The sequence below is a fragment of the Homo sapiens genome, chromosome 5 (genome assembly GCF_000001405.40).
Source record: "Homo sapiens chromosome 5, GRCh38.p14 Primary Assembly".
Lineage (NCBI taxonomy): Eukaryota > Metazoa > Chordata > Mammalia > Primates > Hominidae > Homo > Homo sapiens.
Genome location: NC_000005.10, coordinates 171,626,949 through 171,647,332, shown reverse-complemented (window position 1 = coordinate 171,647,332; position 20,384 = coordinate 171,626,949). Strand labels below are relative to the sequence as shown.

Sequence of the window (20,384 nt, the reverse complement as noted above, 5' to 3'; positions counted from 1 at the left end):
CAGCCCTGTCAATTCCTCTTCACCTGCCACCCTTGTCGAAAGCCCTCCAGTGACCCCCTCCTCAATTCCCCACGTGAGTAGCCATCTGTTCCTGGACCCTGCCTGATGCACAGTTTCTATAGCACAAGTAGAATCCTGAGAACTCCATCAGGGTCTGGCAAAGTGTGGCCTGTGGACCAAATTTGGCCCACCACCTGTTTCTGTAAATAAAGTTTTATTGGAATGCAGCCACGTTAATTCATGTATGTTTTGTCTATGGCTGCTTTCACATTACAATGGTGGAATTGAGTAGTTGTAACAGAGACCGTATGGACCTCAAGCCTAAAGTTTTGACTCTCTGACCCTTTACAGAAAGTTTGCTGAACCCTGAACCCCATCCTAGAATAAGCTAGTCAGTGACAAGCCCCCGGGCACAGTGCCCAGCTCACGGTAAACTGTGGTAAGGTCTGGCTCTTCTTGCCTGGGTGCAGTGGCAGCAACTCGTATTCTCTCAGCCAGAGAACTCGGGAGCTGGAAAGGGGGTCGGGGAGGGCTACCATCTGCTTTATAGGATGCTGGGTCAGAAAAGCCTTTTAAAAAGCAAGGTTTCTTGGTGGCTTGCCACTTGGTGTGCAGGAATCAGCTCTTCCTCATTCTTCCTCTCAGCACCTAGCTCAGGGCTCCCAGCAGAGTCAGCATCTATAAATGTTTGCTGTTAGATGAATGAATTCAATTAACCACCCATCAATAGGGGTGGAACTTTGCAGAGACCCAGCTTTTATGCAAATCAGCCTCCTTCAGGGATGCTGCAGCTGTCGCCAAGTCTTATCGGATTTTCCGCCAACACTGATTTCTGGAATCCACCGTTTTCACTGTATCCCATTGGCCACCTCCAGGCACCGCTTTCCTTGGTGGCCTTCCTACCTTCAGGCTCACCCCTGCAGGCTGCTTCCGCATAGCCTTCAAAATCATGTTTCTAACACATAAATCTGATCGTGCCATTCCTGTTCTAAAAACCTGTCCATGGCTCCCCACTGCCTGCAGATGATCTCATCTCTGCATGCCTCAGCACAGCAGGCAATGCCCTTCTCCATCGAACCCTGTTCACAGACCCTAGCTCATCTCTCACTTCCCCCTCCCCTCTCCTCCACATTATATTCCAGAACCCTGCAATCTTTCCAGGACCCCAAACATACCTGGATCTTTGTCACCTGCTCCCTGGAGCTCCCATCTGCACCTCTGCTCCATGCCAACTCCTACTCATTATTGGGGCCTGTCTGGGGCTTCATCTCTTCCAGGGAACTAAATTGCTTTCCTCCCAGCTGCACTAGGTGTTTCTCTGGGTCTCCCCAGTATCTTGTGCTGTTCTCTTTGGAAACTTGGAATGTGTCTACTTGTTGTCCTCCCATTCTGTACTATAAGCTCTGAGCAAGGGGGCTATACATGGTGGCCATCCCCCTGGCTGCAGGACACAATGGGTACTCAACCAATGAGAGGCTCCTTCCTCCCTCAGCCCAGGCCCTTCCCAGCTCTTTGTCCGGTTGTATCCTCCTGAGTACATATGCCCAAGTCTCCCAATCCTTGAGAAGCTACAGGATTCATCTTTTGGGGTGGAGGAGTACATGCTTATGCCTAGTTTCTGCCTACATGCTTGAAAATTCTTGCAAAGTCCAAAACAATGGCTGGAATGAAAGCTACATTATTTAAACACTAAATTGAAACATATTATTTCAAAGAGAAGCAGCCACTCATTTGAATTTCAGAGTTTCTTGGGAAACCCACCTGCAGCCCCAGACAATCCGCATGTCTTTTGTGCGGGTCCAGCCCCTCGTATTGATGGGCCCGATTGGGGTCTGAACTGGAAATCCAGCTTTGTTCTGAGAATGAGATGACAACTCACCCCTTAGCAATTTTTGCTTTCCTTTCTCCTTGAAAGACCATGTCAACCACAGAAGAAATATAAAAGGGCATAACTTGGGTGGCTGGTGGGGAGAAGGTGGTATTTAGCCACTAAATGAGGGTCAAGTGACTTCAGCGGCCAGGAAGGAAATGTAAATGAGGGCAACCAGACGTGGAGCCACAGGGAGGGAGGGGCCTATGGCAGAGAGGGGGCCTGCGGCTCACTTCCAGCCTTCGGTACTAGGGTCTTTCACGAGAAACCAGAAATATGGACTTTTTATAAGAAATCTGGGTTTTTGATGTCAGCAATTAATTCAAAAACTGAAGCCTAGAGGAGGTCGAACAAACCGCTTCCGGTGAATTCAACCTGCTAGGCTTGGGTTTGCAATCTATGGTCTTCTCTTTACCAAACCCTTGATGCTTCTTTCCTTAGGAATCCTCTCACCATCCATTTTCTTACTAGCCCCATCTCACAGATGGGGAAACCAAGGCTCAGGACCACATGCACAGAGCCACCGGGAAGGGATGGGCTGTGTATGATTCAAACTCAGCTCTGTCTGATTCCAAAACCCTGGTCCCTTCTTGGTGGCTGAAGCTGTGGCAGGGCCTGCCCTGGGTTTTCAGGCACGGAGGGTGGACTGGTGCTCTGCAAAGTCCTGCTCATCTCCCCGCCAGCAGCCAGGGCGGAGGATGCCTTTGTGTGAGCTCAGCATCTGGTTGTCAAATGCAGGCTGGCTCGGCTCCATCGTCAGGCTCCATGTGAGAAACGGGCACTTTAAACATTGCAGATGCAGCTGGTTGGGTAGGCAGGCCCTGAGAGAGGCGTCAAGGTTGACATACACCAAGGCAGGTTCAAGATGGGAGGGGACAGTGGGTCCCGCTCTCCCAGTCCCGCCCCACCTCCCCATCTCCCGGCCCTTCTCTCGTCTGTCCTAGTGGGCTGTCTGTCTGTCTGCTTGTCTCTTCTGACTCCTCTTTCCTTCTCTTTCTTTGTCTTCTCCCCTGCCTGTCTCCCAGCTCTCAGCTCTGCCCTCCGGACTCACTCCCTTTCCCTCCCCTTCTTTCTCTGTCTCTCCTCGCCTCCATCTCTTTCACTATTGCTCCTTTTCAAGCCCTCTCTGTCCTTTCCTTTCCCCCTCACAGTTTTCTCTCCTTTTCCCACCCATTATTCTTTCTTCTTTGCCCCCTCTCCCTCCATCTCTCAGAATAACATGCAAAAACCTTTCACTCCTGACTTCCTTCCCACATTCTCACACAAAGAATAAATAAAGAGAATGTCACCAACAAGCATCAACCACTGCGTTTCAATAGACCCTTTGCTCTTAGGAGAGGGACAGACGAATTTCTAAAAAAAAATTTTCTCTCTCTCTCTGACACATTCATGACTTGGCATCCTATAGCAAGTTAAGTATTTTTCCAAACACAGCTAAACTGGTGTGCAGAAAGCTAATGAATTCTGCTAAAAGAAGCTTTCATCTGCAAGTCACTAAAATGTTCTGTTGTTTATTCCCCACCATTTCTTTATTTCTCCACAGTCCTCTCCCCCTACACACACACACATACACACACACAAACACACACACACACACTCATATGCACCCTCCCTCTCACATGCTCACACACATTTCCTTATTGCCATTCCTTTGAAGGGAAAAAAATTCCGGATCCCAAATCTCTGGCAAGGTTCTCTTACAAGATCCTCGGGAAAAGGGCAACTAGTTTTTGCTTAGTGCCTTCTGAATTCCAGGGGACCCCTCAGCCTTGGCTCGGGCCCTCCCAGCACCCCTGCCAGGAGGATAGGCAACCCGTCATACAGATGAATAGCCTGCAGGTCAGAGAGGTGAAGTGACTTGCCTAAGGCCACAAAGACAGGCTAGAGTTGAAAGTCGAGTGTCAAAGCACTCCACATGGCAGTCTGGAAATTCTGCGGGTAATTTCTGAGCGCCAGAAATAAGCTTTTGAAGATCTCCTTTGAGTAAAGCTCATTCATTACTGCACCCAAGAGTATTTCCTCCCCTCTCACAGATAATAGCAACATCAGGAATTTTATCCAAGTTTCATTTACCTCATACCTAGTGTTTCATCTCATCCTTAGCTAACTCTTGGAGACCAGGAGGATGGGGTAGTTTCTACTGCCATTTTGCAGGCAGGTAGACTGAGCCTTGGAAAGGTAAAGTGACTTTTCCAGGGGTCCTCGGTTGATTGGCATGAGGGCAGAGGCTAGAACCCATGTTTCCGTGCCTTACTATGGATGTGGGTATCATCACCTGAGTGGGAGACTATAGAGAGGAGAGGTTTTCAGAGTGACACTGCAGGTAATTTTTTAAAAGTCTAATCTTGTTTTGTCAGTTGCAGACATCATTTATTTGACCTTTGACCCCAGTTTCCACATCCGCCAAATGGAGATAATAATTGCTGCAGGATTCAACGTCAGAAAAGGAAAGAAGTTGGATTTTAAACAATTCTGAATTTAAAAAACAGCAACCATTCCATAGACCCTGTAAGAGACATTACTAGTGCTCACGAATGGCTTGCTTGTCTCTCTGTCCAGGTGCGGGAAAGTCTGCATCTCCAGCCTGCTTGGCTCAGCAGGGCCAGGGGACTTGCTTTGACCAATGGGTGTGAGCAGAAGTTACAAATGTCACTTCAAAAGCATTTAATTGCTGGCTTGAGAACCCCCTCTTTCTCTCTCTTCGTCTTTGGCATTGACTGAGAAGACTTCCTGTTCCAGATGATGATGTAGAAGATGGTGGAATGTCCTTCCACCGGGATTGTGGAGCTGTTGCATAGAGAACAGTTGCCCTGTTCTCTGGCCTAGACCCAGAACACACTCTGCATGGTGAAAATGCAAGCTTTCTGTGAGAGCCACTGAGATTTGGGAGTATCTGTTACTGCAGCATAACCTAACTTACTGCAGTTAATAGTCACTATAATGTGGGCATGTAAGTTAAGGAAGAGTCTCTCAAAATGACTCAAATTAGTTTGCTTCCAGATTACCCATGGCGATGAGGGACACAGCCTACTTACCTGCTAAAAAACCCTTTGCCCTGCCTTTCCTGGCCTTGTTTTCTGGCCTGGTCTTCTCCTCCAAGCCTGGGGCAGACTTCTGCTGAGTCCTTTCTGATTCCTGCTCACAGAAGGGAGACCTTCTGGGGTCTGGGGAGTTTTCATGTCCTACCCATGACCTCCTACCCACCCCATGTACTCCTGCACCTGCTCAGGCCTCAGTACCCCTCACCTGGACCACAAAACTCCTCTCTGGCCTCCTTGTTCCAAGTCCTCCCCTTCCTGTCCATTCTCCACACTGCCCTTTGGTGGTTTGTCCAAAACACTACAGTAATTAGGTCACTCACTGCCTAGAACCCTCCATGGCTCCCTTTTGCCCTCAGGATAAAGACCAAGTTCCATAACTGAGCTCTTCTGGATCTCATGCCTTCAAAACTTAGTTGAAATGTTCCCTCTTCCCTGACTGTTTGCACTCTCACACACAGTTTTGTAATTTCATTGTTTACACATCAATATCCCCCACTAGACTGTAGGCAACTTCAAGGGCAACATGAGTGTTGAGTCCAGAATTTGATCATAGTAGGCAATGAAGGAATGTTTGTTGAGTAGATAAATAAATAAATTATCTAAATTGAGTTCTAGTTCTTCTGTCAACTGAGTGTATGATTCTGGGCAGTTTATTTCTCCCTCTGAGACTCAATTTCCTCATCTGTAGATTAGGGTGAATAAGGTTTTCCTTGCCTATTACATTAGCTATAGTTTTTAAACTCCAGGCCCTTTTGGAGGACAGAATATTTGCAATTCCAGGGGATGTGGGACCACAGCATACCATGTCTGAGGATTTTGGGGGAGAGTAATGAGATAATTGATGCAAAAATGCTTTGGAGCCTGTACAAAGTTAATGGATTGTTGTTCAGACCCAGTCCCTGCCTTTGGAGCTTACATTCTAGAAGGGAGATAGAAACACATGGGGTGCATTCTCTTATCACCCACCCTAGTCCATGGCAGGTATTACAAATCATTCACTGCACTTTAAGCAGGCATCTCCAATTGATTCATATCGAACTGGGAGATACAATCTATTTGCCATTCTGGCTACAGAAGGAGAAACAATCTTTCCAATCCCAGACAACCATGTTAAGTGCCTCATTGACCCCAGAGAATCAAAACCTCAGCCTCTGTTTATTGAGCACTGGCTTCAAGCCTGGTCCTCTCCCCACATAATCTCTTCCAATCTTCATGACGATCCTGCAAGTCAGAGACTATTTACTCCCATTCTCCCCTTTCACAGACCAATCTCTGAGACCAATACCTGGGGCTGCTGACCCCAGTCCACCCATTTGAGCCTGGGTCTGTCTCCAAAGGACACGCTCTTGCCACCCTTCCACACTACCTCTCTCAAACAGGAGTGCAGCAGGTCAGGCACGGGCCACAGATATCAGTGGAGCCATCCACAGGGCTGTAGAGAGAACTAACACCCAGCTACACCTTTTCCGGCAGGAATTTTTTGTTCCTGCTGTATTCAGAGGGCCTGCCAGGACTGGAGTCTGTCTGTTGGGAAAGGCGGCTCATGCTATTTTGATATTGAACCCATGTCCACGGGCCCAGTGATGGACAAGCCTTTTACACATCTCACAAATAAAACTCACAGAGTCATTTTCAGCTTGGCCCGAGCTGTGGGCACAGCCCCAGAGGACTTGGCTCTGCTAATTCTCTCATCAGCCTAATAGGAGAACAATTATCACAGTCAGGATACAAATTTAGCTCCAGACACTTCTCTGGGAACTCAGAGGGCTTGTGACTTATGGCTTCATTTTAAAGAGGAGCAGATTGTTGACATGAACTCTGGGTAGTTCTCATTTTTCTCGAGGAACTAAGCTGTACTTGCTGTTAATGGTAGAATCATTAGGTCATGGCTGAGGTCCACAAGAGGATAGGAAACCCAGCAGCTTGGATGTAGGCTGAGCTCTCTATAATTAACCTAATAGCCTGTTTATTTGACTATCTCAATTACAGACTCATTTAAATAGCATTAAAAATAAAAGATGAGCCCCAGGAGCAGCAGAAGAAACATAAGGATGCTCTTTTGTCCAAGATTTCATAGGACACTATTTGAATGCATAAAAAGCCACTGATAGAGCAGCCACCAGGAAAACTTTCTTTAAAAAACTTTAAATTGAGGCAAAAAAAATGCAAACATGAGCAAGACTGAGCACCCGCAGGCATGTTTTATAGCGAAGTCAAATGATCAGGGTTTGGATGTCAGCTCTGCCAGGGGTTGGATGAAACTTGTGCGAGTCATCTAATCTCTGGAAACCTCACTCTCCCCCTTGGAGGATCCATGGAAAGGGGTCAGCTGATATGGATTACCATCATAGCTAACACATCTTGAGCATTTATGTGCCAGGCATTGTTATACACCCTTTATTTACAGTAACTCATTTAGCTCTTACAGTTCCACGATGAAATAAGTGGTATTATCATCTTCCATTTTACAGACGAGGAAGCCGAGGCACAGAATAGTTAAGTGACAAAACAATGCTCAAGGTACCAGTGTGTGGAGTGTGGAAGCTGGGATTTGAAAGCAGGCAACCTGGCCCCAAAGTCTATGTGCATAACCTCTAGTCTACCCTGCCCTGGGAAGAACCTGCACCACCAGAGGCCTTCAAAACATGATTAAGTTGAATCTATTTCTTTTTCTTTGTGTTGCAAGCGTGGCTTTCCGATGGTTGTGCACATTTTTCTATCTGATATAAATAGCTTTTTTATTTTTCTCCCTCTGTCCCCGCTCCAAATATCAGTCAATACTGGAGAGAAAATAACTGTTTCTGGTTCATGGTGACAAGGTCAAGGCTCCTTTGGAGAATGCTTGTTGGTGCTGTCTCCGTCCTGGGCTGAGAAATCACGGCATTTATTTTAAGCTGAAACTTTCTTATATTTAAAGCTTGTCATCAGGCTGAAGTTTGTTTATTGCATTCCATAATTATGATGAATATATTTTAAATAGAAAAAGATTTGAAATGTAGGACAGCTGCAAAAAATATGGTGTCAATCACTGAGAATCAGCCCACATCTGGAGTTAGAACTTGGGTGGGAATGGCTTGTTTTGCATTTTTATGACCAGATGCATCCAGATTAGATGTACCTTATAAACTTCACCCAGACAACTGTCAGGGCCAATCAGCCTTAATTGAATGCGACATTTTCTCCACCAATCCGCCCTGAGCCCAGGCCAAGAATCCCCCCTGTATCACGCACAGGCCCTGTGTGAGCTCTGCTCGCTGTGCACATCGGATCTGTCAAACACAGGCCAAATTAAATACTGGACTTCATTCCACAATGACTTCCAATTAGGGCAGAATGAAGTCCGGAGGGCTTTGAATGCCCCCCTTGGCCCTGTTACTTGGAGACACAATCAGTGGAAAAAGGGGAGCCAAGAGGTCTGCTGCACCCCCATGCTGTGCCCTGTGCATTGTGCACTTAATATGTGCCAGCCTCATGCATTGAGCACTTACTGTATGCCAGTGATCACGCCTGGCCCCTTACATACACCCTCCCTCTTAGTCCTTCCAACAGCCCTGCAAGGTGAACACGACGCTCCCACTTGACAGGCCAGGAAATGGAGGTTCAGAGAGATGAATGGAGGTTCTGGCCCAAGTTTGCAGGCCAGGAAAGCTTGAATATTCTCATCAGCCACCTTCATTTGGCTAATGGTGGTTGTCAAACTCCCATGGGGACATTCAGACGCATGGGAGGGCATTTTGGTTTGTTCCAATGACTGGAAGGGCATTACTGGCTTCAGTGCCAGGGACCCGGGAATGCTAAACCTCTTGCGACGGGGAACAGAGCCAAAGAGTGAAGAACGGTCGCCTTATCCCCCAACCCTCGCTCATCTATTATCTCTTGATCTGATCCCACACAGGCTGGCACCTAAAATTAGGGAGTATATCATTCAGTTTGCAAATCAGGAGGCTTTGAGAATATTTTCTTATTCCAGATTTCCCAAGACATCGTGTGTTGATACATAACTAACCCTCAAGTGCCAAAGATTGTAACGGAGAAGGGGAAAGAGGACAAGAGGAGAGAAGGGGGAGGATTTCATCTGTTCCAAGGGAATATCTAGTAAATATCACCCCTCAAAATTATTATCAAGGTCATCATTATTACCTCTAAGGTTTGCAAATCAAGGCCGAATTCTACTACAGGTGTGTGTGAACAATAAAATCTTCACAATCTAAGATTTCTACTTCCCAAACTAGAACTAGGGGAGTCTCTTAAAGGAGTAATCAATCATAATAAGAAAAATACTGTCTCATGCTCCAGCTCCTATTCCATGAGCTTAACTTATGTCATCTCCAATCCTTACAGGAATCCTGTGATGTGACAGCTATTATTCTGGCCTTTGCAGAGATGAAGAAACTGAGGCTCAGAGAGGTTAAGGGACAGCCCAAAGTCACACAGCTAGCAGGAGGCAGAGCCATATTTTGAGTCTGATTCAATGAACTGGACCCATTTTCTGAACCTTGAACTCCAAGGAAATCATAGCTAGTTTTGGTGACGAAATGCAAACCAAAAGTGTTGTTTTTTCTTAAAATCACCTCTTGAACTGGTTTGAATGAAAATCCAAAATGAACATGTACTTAACTATTAAACCAGAGAAGGACTGGAACATCAAAATATTGGCAAGACCAAGCATAAATGGAGGTCTCTCTCCACCAGCACGCCTGGTTTTAACAAGTACCATCATTTGTGTCTAGTTCTGGGTAACAAAGAGATTTCCACAAGTCAGCAGCCTACGATGAAAGGATGTTGCTGATCTGGTTACAACAAACTCTATTAAGTAAAAAAATTCCATCTGACAGAGGTTTTCATCAGTCCCTCTCCCTACTGGAGACACTCTCCTCAATAAGAATATGAGTTTGGGATTTGTCTTTTTGTGAAATGAAAATGAAATTAACCAAGAATTTACAAAAAGCTTTCACTCACCAAGGTTGCAAACTCAGAGGCCTCCAGGGGCCAGCCAGGTGAGTGGAATAAATGGAGTCTGAGCATGCTGTGCAATAGGGAGTGGTGAGGACTGTGGCAAACTGAAGAGCCCATGCTGGGGCCAGCTGCAACTCAACTCCAGTCATTTATTTCATAGTGACACTAGATCGGCAGGTTTTTTGACTTTTCAAGGGAATATGGGATTTTGGTATAAAGTTTCCTGGTAGTGGAAGGTTGATAACAAATTTAAAAATAAATTATATAAGACAAACCAAAAATGCCTGTGTCCCAAAGTCACCTGTGGGCTGCCGATTTATGACCCCTGACACCTCACACCTCCTTGATCCTCACAACGGCTATGAGGGTGGGCACCATGAGCATCGTCATGTAACGGTGGAAGAAATGGGTTCAGAGAGAGCAGCTATCACGCCCAAAGCCACACAGTGGACTCTCTCATGGAATGCAGAGGCACTGGGTACCAACGACCTCACTTCAAATTGGTATGTGGGTACTAATGACCTCACTTCAAATTATCTAAAGACTTTGACAAATTAAACAAAACCCATGTTGGTATTTGTTCTTCCAAAAGCCATCCCTCTTCCCACTTCTCCTCTGTGTGTCTTGAGTCTCCCTCTGCCTTTTTCTTATAAGGACACCTGTCATTGGATTTAAGGCCTACCTGGATCACCCAGGATGAATTCACCTCCAGATCTTTAAGTTAGTAACAACTGCAAAGACCCTTTCCCTGATTACAGTCACATTAGCAGGTTCCAGGGGTTAGGACATGGACATATCTTTGGGGGGACAGCCACCATTCAACCTACTACATATTCCTTCTCCATTTATCTGCCTCTTAAATTTAAATTTGTGTTTAAATTCAGGACTCCCAACCTGCTATATGATGGTGGCACCCCAATATAAATAGCCTGCTGGGATGGTGGAGTCCTCAGGAGAGGGAAACCCCTCACCCAGATGACTAGCTGATGCCCTTCCTGTACTGTTGATTGTCTTAAATGACTAATGGTGTGAAATGATAGTGTCCAGCCAGGCACAGTGGCTCACACCTGTAATCCCAGCACTTTAGGAGGCCAAGGTGGGTGGATTACTTGAAGTCAGGAGTTTGAGACCAGCCTGGTCAACATGGTGAATCCCCGTCTCTACAAAAATACAAAAATTAGCCAGGTGCGGTGGCGCATGCCTGTAATCCTAGTTGCTCGGGAGGCTGAGGCATGAGAATTGCTTGAACCCGGGAGGCGGAGGTTGTAGTGAGTGGAGATCACGCCATTGCACTTTAGCCTGGATAACAGAGTGAGACTCTGTCTCAAGAAAATAAAAGAAAAAAGAAAAGAAAAGAAAAGAAAAGAAAAGAAAAGAAAAGAGAAAAGAAAAGAAAGGAAAGGAAAGGAAAGGAAAGGAAAGGAAAGGAAAAGAAAAGATAGTGTCCTATTTGCATTTTTCTAGGAAAACATCCTTCTAGACTCCCAGAAAGAAAAGCCATGACACTGTGGCACTGGGATGATGGGTCCAGTGCTTGCCAGCGAGCAGCACAGCCTGTCCAAATTAGACTACTTTGCAGAGGGAAGTGCTTCAGAAAGCTAAGGCTCTCTCGCTTGGGTCTACTGGTATCAAAAGTCACCAGCCCAAAGAACAGTATTTGAACAGCTCAAAAGTATTATCTTCAAAAATTGCACATATACAATACTGGACTGATAAGAAAGTTCCCTCCAGTTTCCTTCTGGGAAAACGCCCTAGTAGCCATGTTTGTTACTGACAGGCAATGACGGGTTTTCCTTTCCCCTTTCTTGCTGCTCATGCACTCTTAACTAATTGAAGGAGCCCAGCCAGCAATAGAAAACAGTACGTTACAAGCAACCAGCTGAAAAGAAAGGTTTTATCTTTCAATCAACAGGAGATTTTTTAATAGGGGGAGGACACACAGGAAGCAAGCATTCTGGGAAACAGCTATGAGGGATTTGGGCTCTGAAAGGAAAGAAACTGGGGTGGAGGTGGGGACTGAGGTCTGCTTGCTGGCCCCTGCTAAATTTAGGTTGAGGGTGAGGGCAGAGCCAGGTAACTGAGAAGTGAGCATCCTCACTGTCTACAAAGTACTTTCACAACTTTTGTTTAAGCCCAAGGCAGATGCCATGGGAGCCGGTTGGAATGGAGGTAAAAGCACTGGGGTCAGACCCAGGGCTGAAGGTCCGGCAGTTCTACCCACTGAGCTGTGTGACCTTGGGCAAGTGACTGGCCCTCTCTGAGCCTCAGTGTTCTCAGCTATGAAATAGGGACAATAGCAGTACATATGCTGCACCTTCAATAATTATTTCACTTCTAAACTAGAAAATGGACTGTCACTTTGTGGAAGGGTTTTTTACTTTATAAAGGAAATTGCCACAGCACCCATGAACTTGACCTTCCATTTGTAATAATACCTGCAGTTTCTCAAGAGATTAGTTATTGCATGGACCCACAAAGAGACCTCCCACACCTAGAGAGGGCTTTCATCTGTATCCAACCCCCATCTGCAAATTCGGGATGTCAATAATAATTGCAAGCTCTCTGAGCTGTATGAAGACAAACTGAAAAGATACATGGGGTAGCAGTTAAGATGCTTTTGTTAGTAGAAAGACACAAGTAATAAAAACCTGGTCTCAAATTCAAGGGTGGCTTTAAATTTCCTTAAAATTTATGATCTCATGTAAGAGTTTCAGAGGCACAGTGGCTTCAGGGTGGGTTGGACCCATAGTTCAATGCTGTCATCAGAGTTTCTCCATCTCTCTGCTCTGTCATCTGCAATGATGGCTTCATTCCAAAAATCCAAACAAGATGGCACCAGAAGTCCCAGGCATCACATCCAAGTATAGCAATGTCCAGAAGAGGACCAAGTACCTTTTCCAGTAGCTCACTGGTAGAGGGGAGAAGACTATGTCTAGCAGCAGGTATGCTCTTGCCTCTGCTTAGATAGACTTAAGTTATCTGATGATTCCTGACGTGATTATTTGTCAAGGTACAAGGGATAGCCTGGAATTGGAGAAGGGTCAACCTCTTCCAAAGCATATGGCTCTGTAGTAGGGGGAATAACTTATGCAAAAAAGAAGAAAAAGAGTATCTTTGTTGGGTTCTTCTAGAAGCAGAACTTACACTTGAACTTCCTTATTTGGAAACACCAGCAGGAGAATGAGGAAGTGGGACAGAGGAGGAAAGACAGCTTTCATCAGGCCAGTTGCTACTGTGGGTAACTGCAGCTGAGGCCACTGAGAAACCTGGGAGATGATGTGGAACACACCTCGGAGGTAACCCGAACTAGGGCCAGGAAGCTAAGGTATTTCTCCACAGCACCCTGTTTATCCTGAGTTCAGGGATACTTCCTTCCAGTACATTAACCAGCACTTTAACGTTGCCCTGAGTTCAGACCTAGCAAGTTTCCACAGATAGAAAAAATCCCTGAGGCAGAGAATTGCAGGTGTTTGCAGATGGAGGTGAGGCAATGGGCGGGGCATCGACAGCATCTGAAACAGGAGGATGGAGCCTGGGTTGGCAGCCAGCAGCAGTAACCCTTTTCAGTTAGAGAAGACAGAGCCCATCTTCTTAGCATGACCAAGAGCAGGAGGCCCTTCTTGACACGAGCCACACGATGTCCAGGACATATTTGTCACTTGAACAATAGAATTTTTCATAAACTCCTCAAAGGCCCAAGGTCTCATCTCATCACATGCAGACTGACAAATCCTTCCAGATCTTTCCTCTGTGTTCCTAGGTCGTCTCTCCTGGGAGTGCCCTTGAAATCACTGGGATTCTAAAACAAAGAAAATAACACTACTACTAATAATAACAATAATAGCAGAGGCTACCAGTTTGCGCACCTACAAAAGTCCAGGAATTATGTTTCCATGTATCTTATTTAACCCTCACAGCCACCCTGTGAGGTGGGTCATGTTATCATCCCCATTCCATAGATGAGAAAATTGAGAAACAGAGAAGGGACTGGCTTAGCTAAAGTCATAAAGGAATGGCGGAGGTGAATCTCAGCACAGGCAGCCAGTGGGCTCATAAGAAGTGCTGAGCAGGGCCTGGTGCAGTGGCTCACACCTGTAATCCCGGCACTTTGGGAGGCTGAGGTGGCCAGATCACTTGAGGTCAGGAGTTTGAGACCTGCCTGACCAACATGATGAAACCCCATCTCTACCAAAAATACAAAAATTAGTCAGGCATGATGGCAGGTGCCTGTAATCCCAGCTACTCAGGAGACTGAGGCAGGAGAATTGCTTGAACCCGGAGGCCGAGGTTGCAGTGAGCTGAGATTGCACCACTGCACTCCTGCCTGGGCGAGAGAGTGTCTCTGGAGGCAGCAAAGAGGGTCCAATGAGCGCTGGAGCGCCACGTGAGCCTCCTTCTAGGCTGCGAAAGCATGTAGTAGGTTCAGTAACAATTGGTTGAATAAAAAAAAGTCTCCATAAATGTTATGGGGTGAGTTCCCCCATTTTAGGAATAAGGAAATGGAAGGGGATAAAAGTTCAAATCCAAGAACACTCTAAAGGAGCTAGGATTGAAACCAAGGTCTCTCTGACCTCAAGCTCTTTTCCACCACACTGTGGGGTCTGTGGTTGTGTACTGGCTGTTGAGACCAGAACCACAGGGACCAGCTGACTGTCTTGCGGTGGCTGAGAGCTGAGGCCTTGGCTCTGGCCACCACACTGTCCCTGCCCACCGTGGATCCTAAAGGGCTGTGGGAGGGAGGGTTTGGGCCCTTGCTGCCCAACTGAAACACAGTGTGAACCGCAAGTGCAAGCCACATACATAAGTTTTAATTTTCCAGTAGCTACATTAGAAAAGTAAAGAGAAACTGGTAAAAATAATTTTATTATATATTTTGCTTAACTTAATATATATCCACATATTATAAATTTAGTGTATAGTCGATACAAAACATGACAAATGAGTTTTCTTTCTTTCTAATTTTTTTAAGGATTTCAAATCCAGTGTGCATTTTATACTTACAGCACATCTCCATTTGAAGTAGCCATACTTCAAGTGCTGAACAGCCACTAGGCTGGGCAAGTTTGGATGATTCAGAGAAAACTTTGCCCTTCCCACTCTCCTCTCGTTCACCTCCTACACACATGCCACACACGAAAAATCAAATCAATATACATACATACATAACGTTTTATATATATATATATACACATATATATATATAATATATTTCTCAAAATGACAAGAGTATAGAGCTAGAGAACAGGCTGGCGATTGCCAGTGGTTAGGAAGAAGAGGAGAGATGAGCGGGTGTGATCCTCCAGGGTATCCCGAGGGAAATCATGATGATGATGGAATAGTTCTGTGTCTTGATTGTGGTGGTGGTTACACAGATCATCAACATGGGATAAAATGACCTAGAACTATACACACAGACTGCACTCACGTCAATATCCTGACTTTGACATTGTACTAGAGTTATGTAAGATGCCACCATCGGGAAAAACCAGATGAAGGGTACATAGGAATTGTCTGTATTATCTTTGCAGCTTCCTATGAATTTATATTTATTTCCAAACTAAAGGCTTAAAAAACAAAAAGAACAGAAAAGAAAAAGGAAACAACCTAAATGTCCAAAAATACGAGATTTTGGTTAAATGAACTATGCTGTCAGTCACTTTACATATACATTTTATTGTGTATACATTATATTTTATTTATTTATTTATTTTGAGATGGGGTCTCACTGTGTCATCCAAGCTAGAGTGTAGTGGCACAATCTCGGCTCGCTGCAACCTCTGCCTCTCCGGTTCAAGTGATTCTTGTGCCTCAGCCTCCCAAGTAGCTGGGACTACAGGTGCACACCACCATGTCCAGCTAAATATTGCATTTTTAGTAGAGCCAGGGTTTCACCATGTTGGTGTATATACATTTTATTGTACATTGCCGTACAATGAAATGATTCTGAGCCATTTAGAATGATCAAGAAAACCACATAGGCAGACAAAGAAAATCGGAATACACGACAGCATATCCTGTAAGATTTCCTTGTTGTAACTAGGTTTGTGTGTGCACCAGACACACGAAAGTCTGATAGGATAAGACACAATGTTAGCGGTGGTTATCTCTGGGTGACTTTCGTCTTTTGAACTGCCCAATGTTTTATGATGCACATGTATTACTTTAGTAATCAGGGAGAATATGCTATTTCTATGTTGGGGAAAAAAAAGAAAAGTGTAAGAAAGTGGCCGAAGGGCAGCAGATTGTGTGGCCATGCCATCGTTCTATCCCGAACGCAGCTCCATGAAGGTGTGCAAAGGGAGGCCAGCAAAGAAGTTCTCCCAGGGGAAGGGACAGTGAAATATGTGCTTTGCTTTCTGGCAGGAACCAAACAAAAGGAGATGGAGTGATTCAGACCAAAGGCCACAGCACGTCAGGAATAAAACAGCACCTGGTATATTACAGTCCCAAAACACGTGTGTGGACTAGGGGTGGGGATGTGTAAAAAAAAAAAGAGAAACTGGTTGCTGAATCTGGGTAGGAATTCAGCTATGAGCGCTCTCTGTCTCTCTCTCTCAAATAGTCTTTGGTACTTTTGCTCTGTCATCATTTCTGTTAAGAGAAGCACCTGGTTTTATATTTGCAACCACAAGCTCAAAATGCCTTTCTGCTGGGTTTGTCTACATCTGGGCCCAGGGAGGCCACAGCCCCTGAGTAAATCACCCTGAAGGCTCAGCCAGGGACCTGGATGAGCAGAAATTTCTGTGAAGGTTGGGGTGGCAATTAGGACTTGCATGAATAATCCAGACAACAATCACCAGGGTAATTAATATTTCTTTTATTTTAAAGAATTTACTGTGCCCCAGACACTGTCTGTCGCTGCTCTGCATTACTTTCTAAAATTGGTATTGCTCCGTTTTACAGATAAACTGAGGACTAGGGGAGGTAACCAGCTGAAGGTCATGCAGCTAGTCCTGGATGGAGCCAGGGGGGCCCCAGTCCCGTCTGTCCCCAAAGCTACGTTCTTTCTACACGGGGCCTTGGGTGGTCCCCTTCATTTTCCTTGGGGACACGAGGATAAACGGAGGAAGGCAGAGTTTGCACAGAACCTTGTGGCTCCCCTCGAGGGTAGACATCTGCTGGTGCCACCCGAATGGCCACTCCTGACGGAGCGGGTCCCAGGATGGCGAGGCTGCGCGGGCTGGGACGGGATCTCCTGCGCACAGGCTCCCCCTTATGGAAATGAGGGAGACGCCGCTGCAACTCCAACCTGCCGCTCCACCCAGACAGAGGCGCTGGGAAGGGCTGCCCACGCCCACCCAGCCCTGCGCCTGGATGACGGCCCGCCCCGGGCTTCCTGCTCGGAGCGCGCTCTGGCCCCTAGAGCAGGCATCTTCTTTGGCGTTCCACTCGAGGACGTGTTCTTGAATCCACACGCTACTGAATGTTGATAAATAAAATAACATAAGCTGACAGAGGCCTGAGAAGAAGCGATGATATTTACAATGGGCTTCTCAGGGAGCTTTTCCTGTTTCGACACCAGAAGGAAAACATCCTTGCTTTAAAATATATATAGCATGTGTAATGTTTTATTTCCTAGGATGGCTGAGAACTGCTTTCTAACCATAGAGCTTTGGTTGAATTCTGTTCCCTCCGTGAGCCTCAGCGCCCTCATCTGTAAGATGGGTGTGATGACACTGATCTCATAGGATGGTTGTGACCTGTGCCCATAAAGGGCTTTAGGTCCTTCTGGGAATCTTACAATTCCAGTGCTCATTCACTTACTCAGTAATTAAGCCACTCAAAAAAAGTGTTTACCCAGCACCCACTATGTGCCAGGCACAATGAGGAAATCAGACAGGGGCCCTCTGTGTCTTTAAAAACAAGGGTGAGGCCTGGCTGCCAGGAGGCACGCAGGAAATGGAGGAAGCCCTCGGGGAAGGGAGGACAGAGAGAAGGAGCGACCACGTGATTTCCCTGACCTGCAGCCCACTGGGTCAGCTGGACCGGGAGCCAGGACACCTGACTCTAACTTGGTCCCTATTTCTCTGTGACCTTGTCCTCTGCTCCTCCCTCCCTCTCTCTGAGCCTCCATTCACCCACCTGCAAAATGGAGGAGCAGAAGGGAACGCCTGGTGGAGGTGCTGTGATTTGACCAGCCAAGCCTCCTTTGGATTAAAAGACAGCCCTGCTTCAGACTGTCCCCCATCCCTGTCCTCCATGGTCGTCCCCCCATCATGGTGCCCCCATGGGGTCCTCTTGCCTGTTCTCCCTGAGCCCTAGAACACTGTCCCTGCTCTTTAGACGTAGGCAGGGTTGGGCAGGGGGACCTGGCTCTGTAATCTGAACCTCAGTTTCCTCATCTATAAAAGGATTTGTAAAAGGGATCCTTGGTGGTTTGATTCTGAGGATTTAACAATAAGGACTCCAAAGTGCAAGGGTGGGAGAGTGCTTTGTAGCCATCCATGCCCTCCACAGATAGACAGTCCTGTTGATCTTATTATCTGGGGCATCCCTGTGGAAGCGCGTCCTCTGGGGTGGGCTTTGAGGGGATGGGAAATGAAGAGATTCAGCTGTAGGGCTTGCCAAGTAAATACCCCTAGACTTCCTGAAGGAGGAGATTCCAGAGCAGGCTGCTGGGATGAGAATGAGTTTGCAAATTGAGTGGCAGGGCTGTCAGTGTGGGGAGGGGGATATTCCACGTGGAGGAAACTGAGTATACAGAAGTTCGTGTATTGAAATAGCCTGGAGGCTGGCTTTGATCCTAATAAGGGAAGATCTTCAAGCTAGTATTCTGCGCGGGAGGGCAGCCAACATGGGGGTTTGGGAAGAGGAGGCTGGTAAGGCAGGCAAGACACCCTGGGCATGAAGGGCTTTGGATGCCAAGACCTTTGGGACTTTGGATTTCAGACCAAGGGAAGCCATGCTTGTGTAACTTGGGCGGAGCAGAGAGGGGAATTGAAGCGGGAGAGACCAGGGTGGCAATAATCCAGTGGGGAGAGAGAGTGAGAGCTGGCTGCGGTCAAGGCTGTGGGGATGTGGAAAAGGGAAAGTATTTGAGAGATGTTCCCGAGATGGCCCCAACGGGGCTGCATGATGGATTGACTGTGGGGCGTGAGGCAGAGGGAAGATCTTACCATCTAGCTGGAGGGCCCAGACAGACACCCGGGAACAAGAGTGAAGTAGATGAGAGAGAGGATAATTAAGTGCTAAATTGTGCAGCTTAATTTATTGTCTGGATAGTTGCCTTGTACTATAAACCCCGTTGCTCTAATGAGCTCATGACATCAGTCAGCAAGGAAAGTATGCCTAACGCATTGCCCATCACACTGGGGCCATCTGTGGGCACTGCCCAGATGCCTATCTGGACAGACACTCTGGCTGCCAGGCTTCTGGACTCAGTTTGCAATTGAGGGTACCAACAAGTGCCAGGCCAGGGCACCTCTGGCAAAATCCCTTCCTTAGAAGCTTCAGAATCCAAAAGGCCAGGGACTCCCAGGGGTTTAGTTCCAAAGAGGAAGGAAGGAGGCACAGAGTTGGAACTTCACTGTAATGCAAGAGCATGGGTCCTGCCCCAGGGTCCAGGGGAGTTGGATTCACATCTAGCCCCCTTCCTGCTTATGTGACCTTGGGCTGGCCTCCAACCCTTCTGAGCCATTCATTGTCTTATCTGTGAATTCAAGCAAGCACCCAGAAAGTGTTCTGTGAACCTCAGTTATCATGAAAAGATTCTCCCAGTTGAGGCCGGGCATGGTGGCTCACACCTGTAATCCCAGCACTTTGGGAGGCCGAGGCGGGTAGATCACAAGGTCAAGAGATTGAGACCATCCTGGCCGACATGGTAAAACGCTGTCTCTACTTAAAATACAACAAATTAGCTGGGTGGTGGCATGCGCCTCTTAGTCCCAGCTACTTGGGAGGTTGAGGCAGAAGAATCACTTGAACCTGGGAGGCGGAGTGTGCAGTGAGCCGAGATTGTGCCACTGCACTCCAGCCTGACAACAAAGTGAGACTCTGTCTCAAAAAAAAAAAGATTCTCCCAGTTGAAAAAGATGTTGAAAACAATAGGTATGTAAGAGCACCCACCTTACTTACTTCTCATGGACCACATCCCAGGCCTGGAGCTCCTGGGGATGCAGAGAATTTATTCTGTCCACCTACACTGGAGGGGAGAAGACAATTCACCCTTGATTCTATTACTCCGTTTATTGAGTCTTTTAAAGAGATTTTCAGTGTGTGATAAAGAGAGAGGGGTTTGTCTTGGTGAAAACCAGAGGCTTTTTGAAGAAAATGCACCCCAAACAGGCCTTGGATAATAGTCTAGACTTTCTTGCCAGAGAAATAGCCCCTTGCACTTGCTCTTCTTAACAAGGTTGCTGGAAATATCTTTGTTGGAAGTGCTTAGAAGAATATCTGGTTAGAGGGGTAGGGGCGAGGGTGAAATGCAGCTGCATTTACAGAGAATTTTATATGACATTGAGAAGGGTCCATTTTCCATAGCAAGGAAAATCAAATCTGATAGAGATTGTGGAAGAGGC

At 46.5% G+C, this 20,384-nt stretch overlaps 2 annotated features.

Moving 5' to 3' along the window:
* Nucleotides 2,053-2,552: an enhancer, noted in NCBI's record as "H3K4me1 hESC enhancer chr5:171071785-171072284 (GRCh37/hg19 assembly coordinates)". NCBI's record gives its function as "activates a minimal SCP1, AML or CMV promoter by ChIP-STARR-seq in naive H9 embryonic stem cells {active_cell/tissue: H9 hESC(naive)}" and the evidence as "EXISTENCE:reporter gene assay evidence [ECO:0000049][PMID:30033119]".
* Nucleotides 2,553-3,054: an enhancer, noted in NCBI's record as "H3K4me1 hESC enhancer chr5:171071283-171071784 (GRCh37/hg19 assembly coordinates)". NCBI's record gives its function as "activates a minimal SCP1, AML or CMV promoter by ChIP-STARR-seq in naive H9 embryonic stem cells {active_cell/tissue: H9 hESC(naive)}" and the evidence as "EXISTENCE:reporter gene assay evidence [ECO:0000049][PMID:30033119]".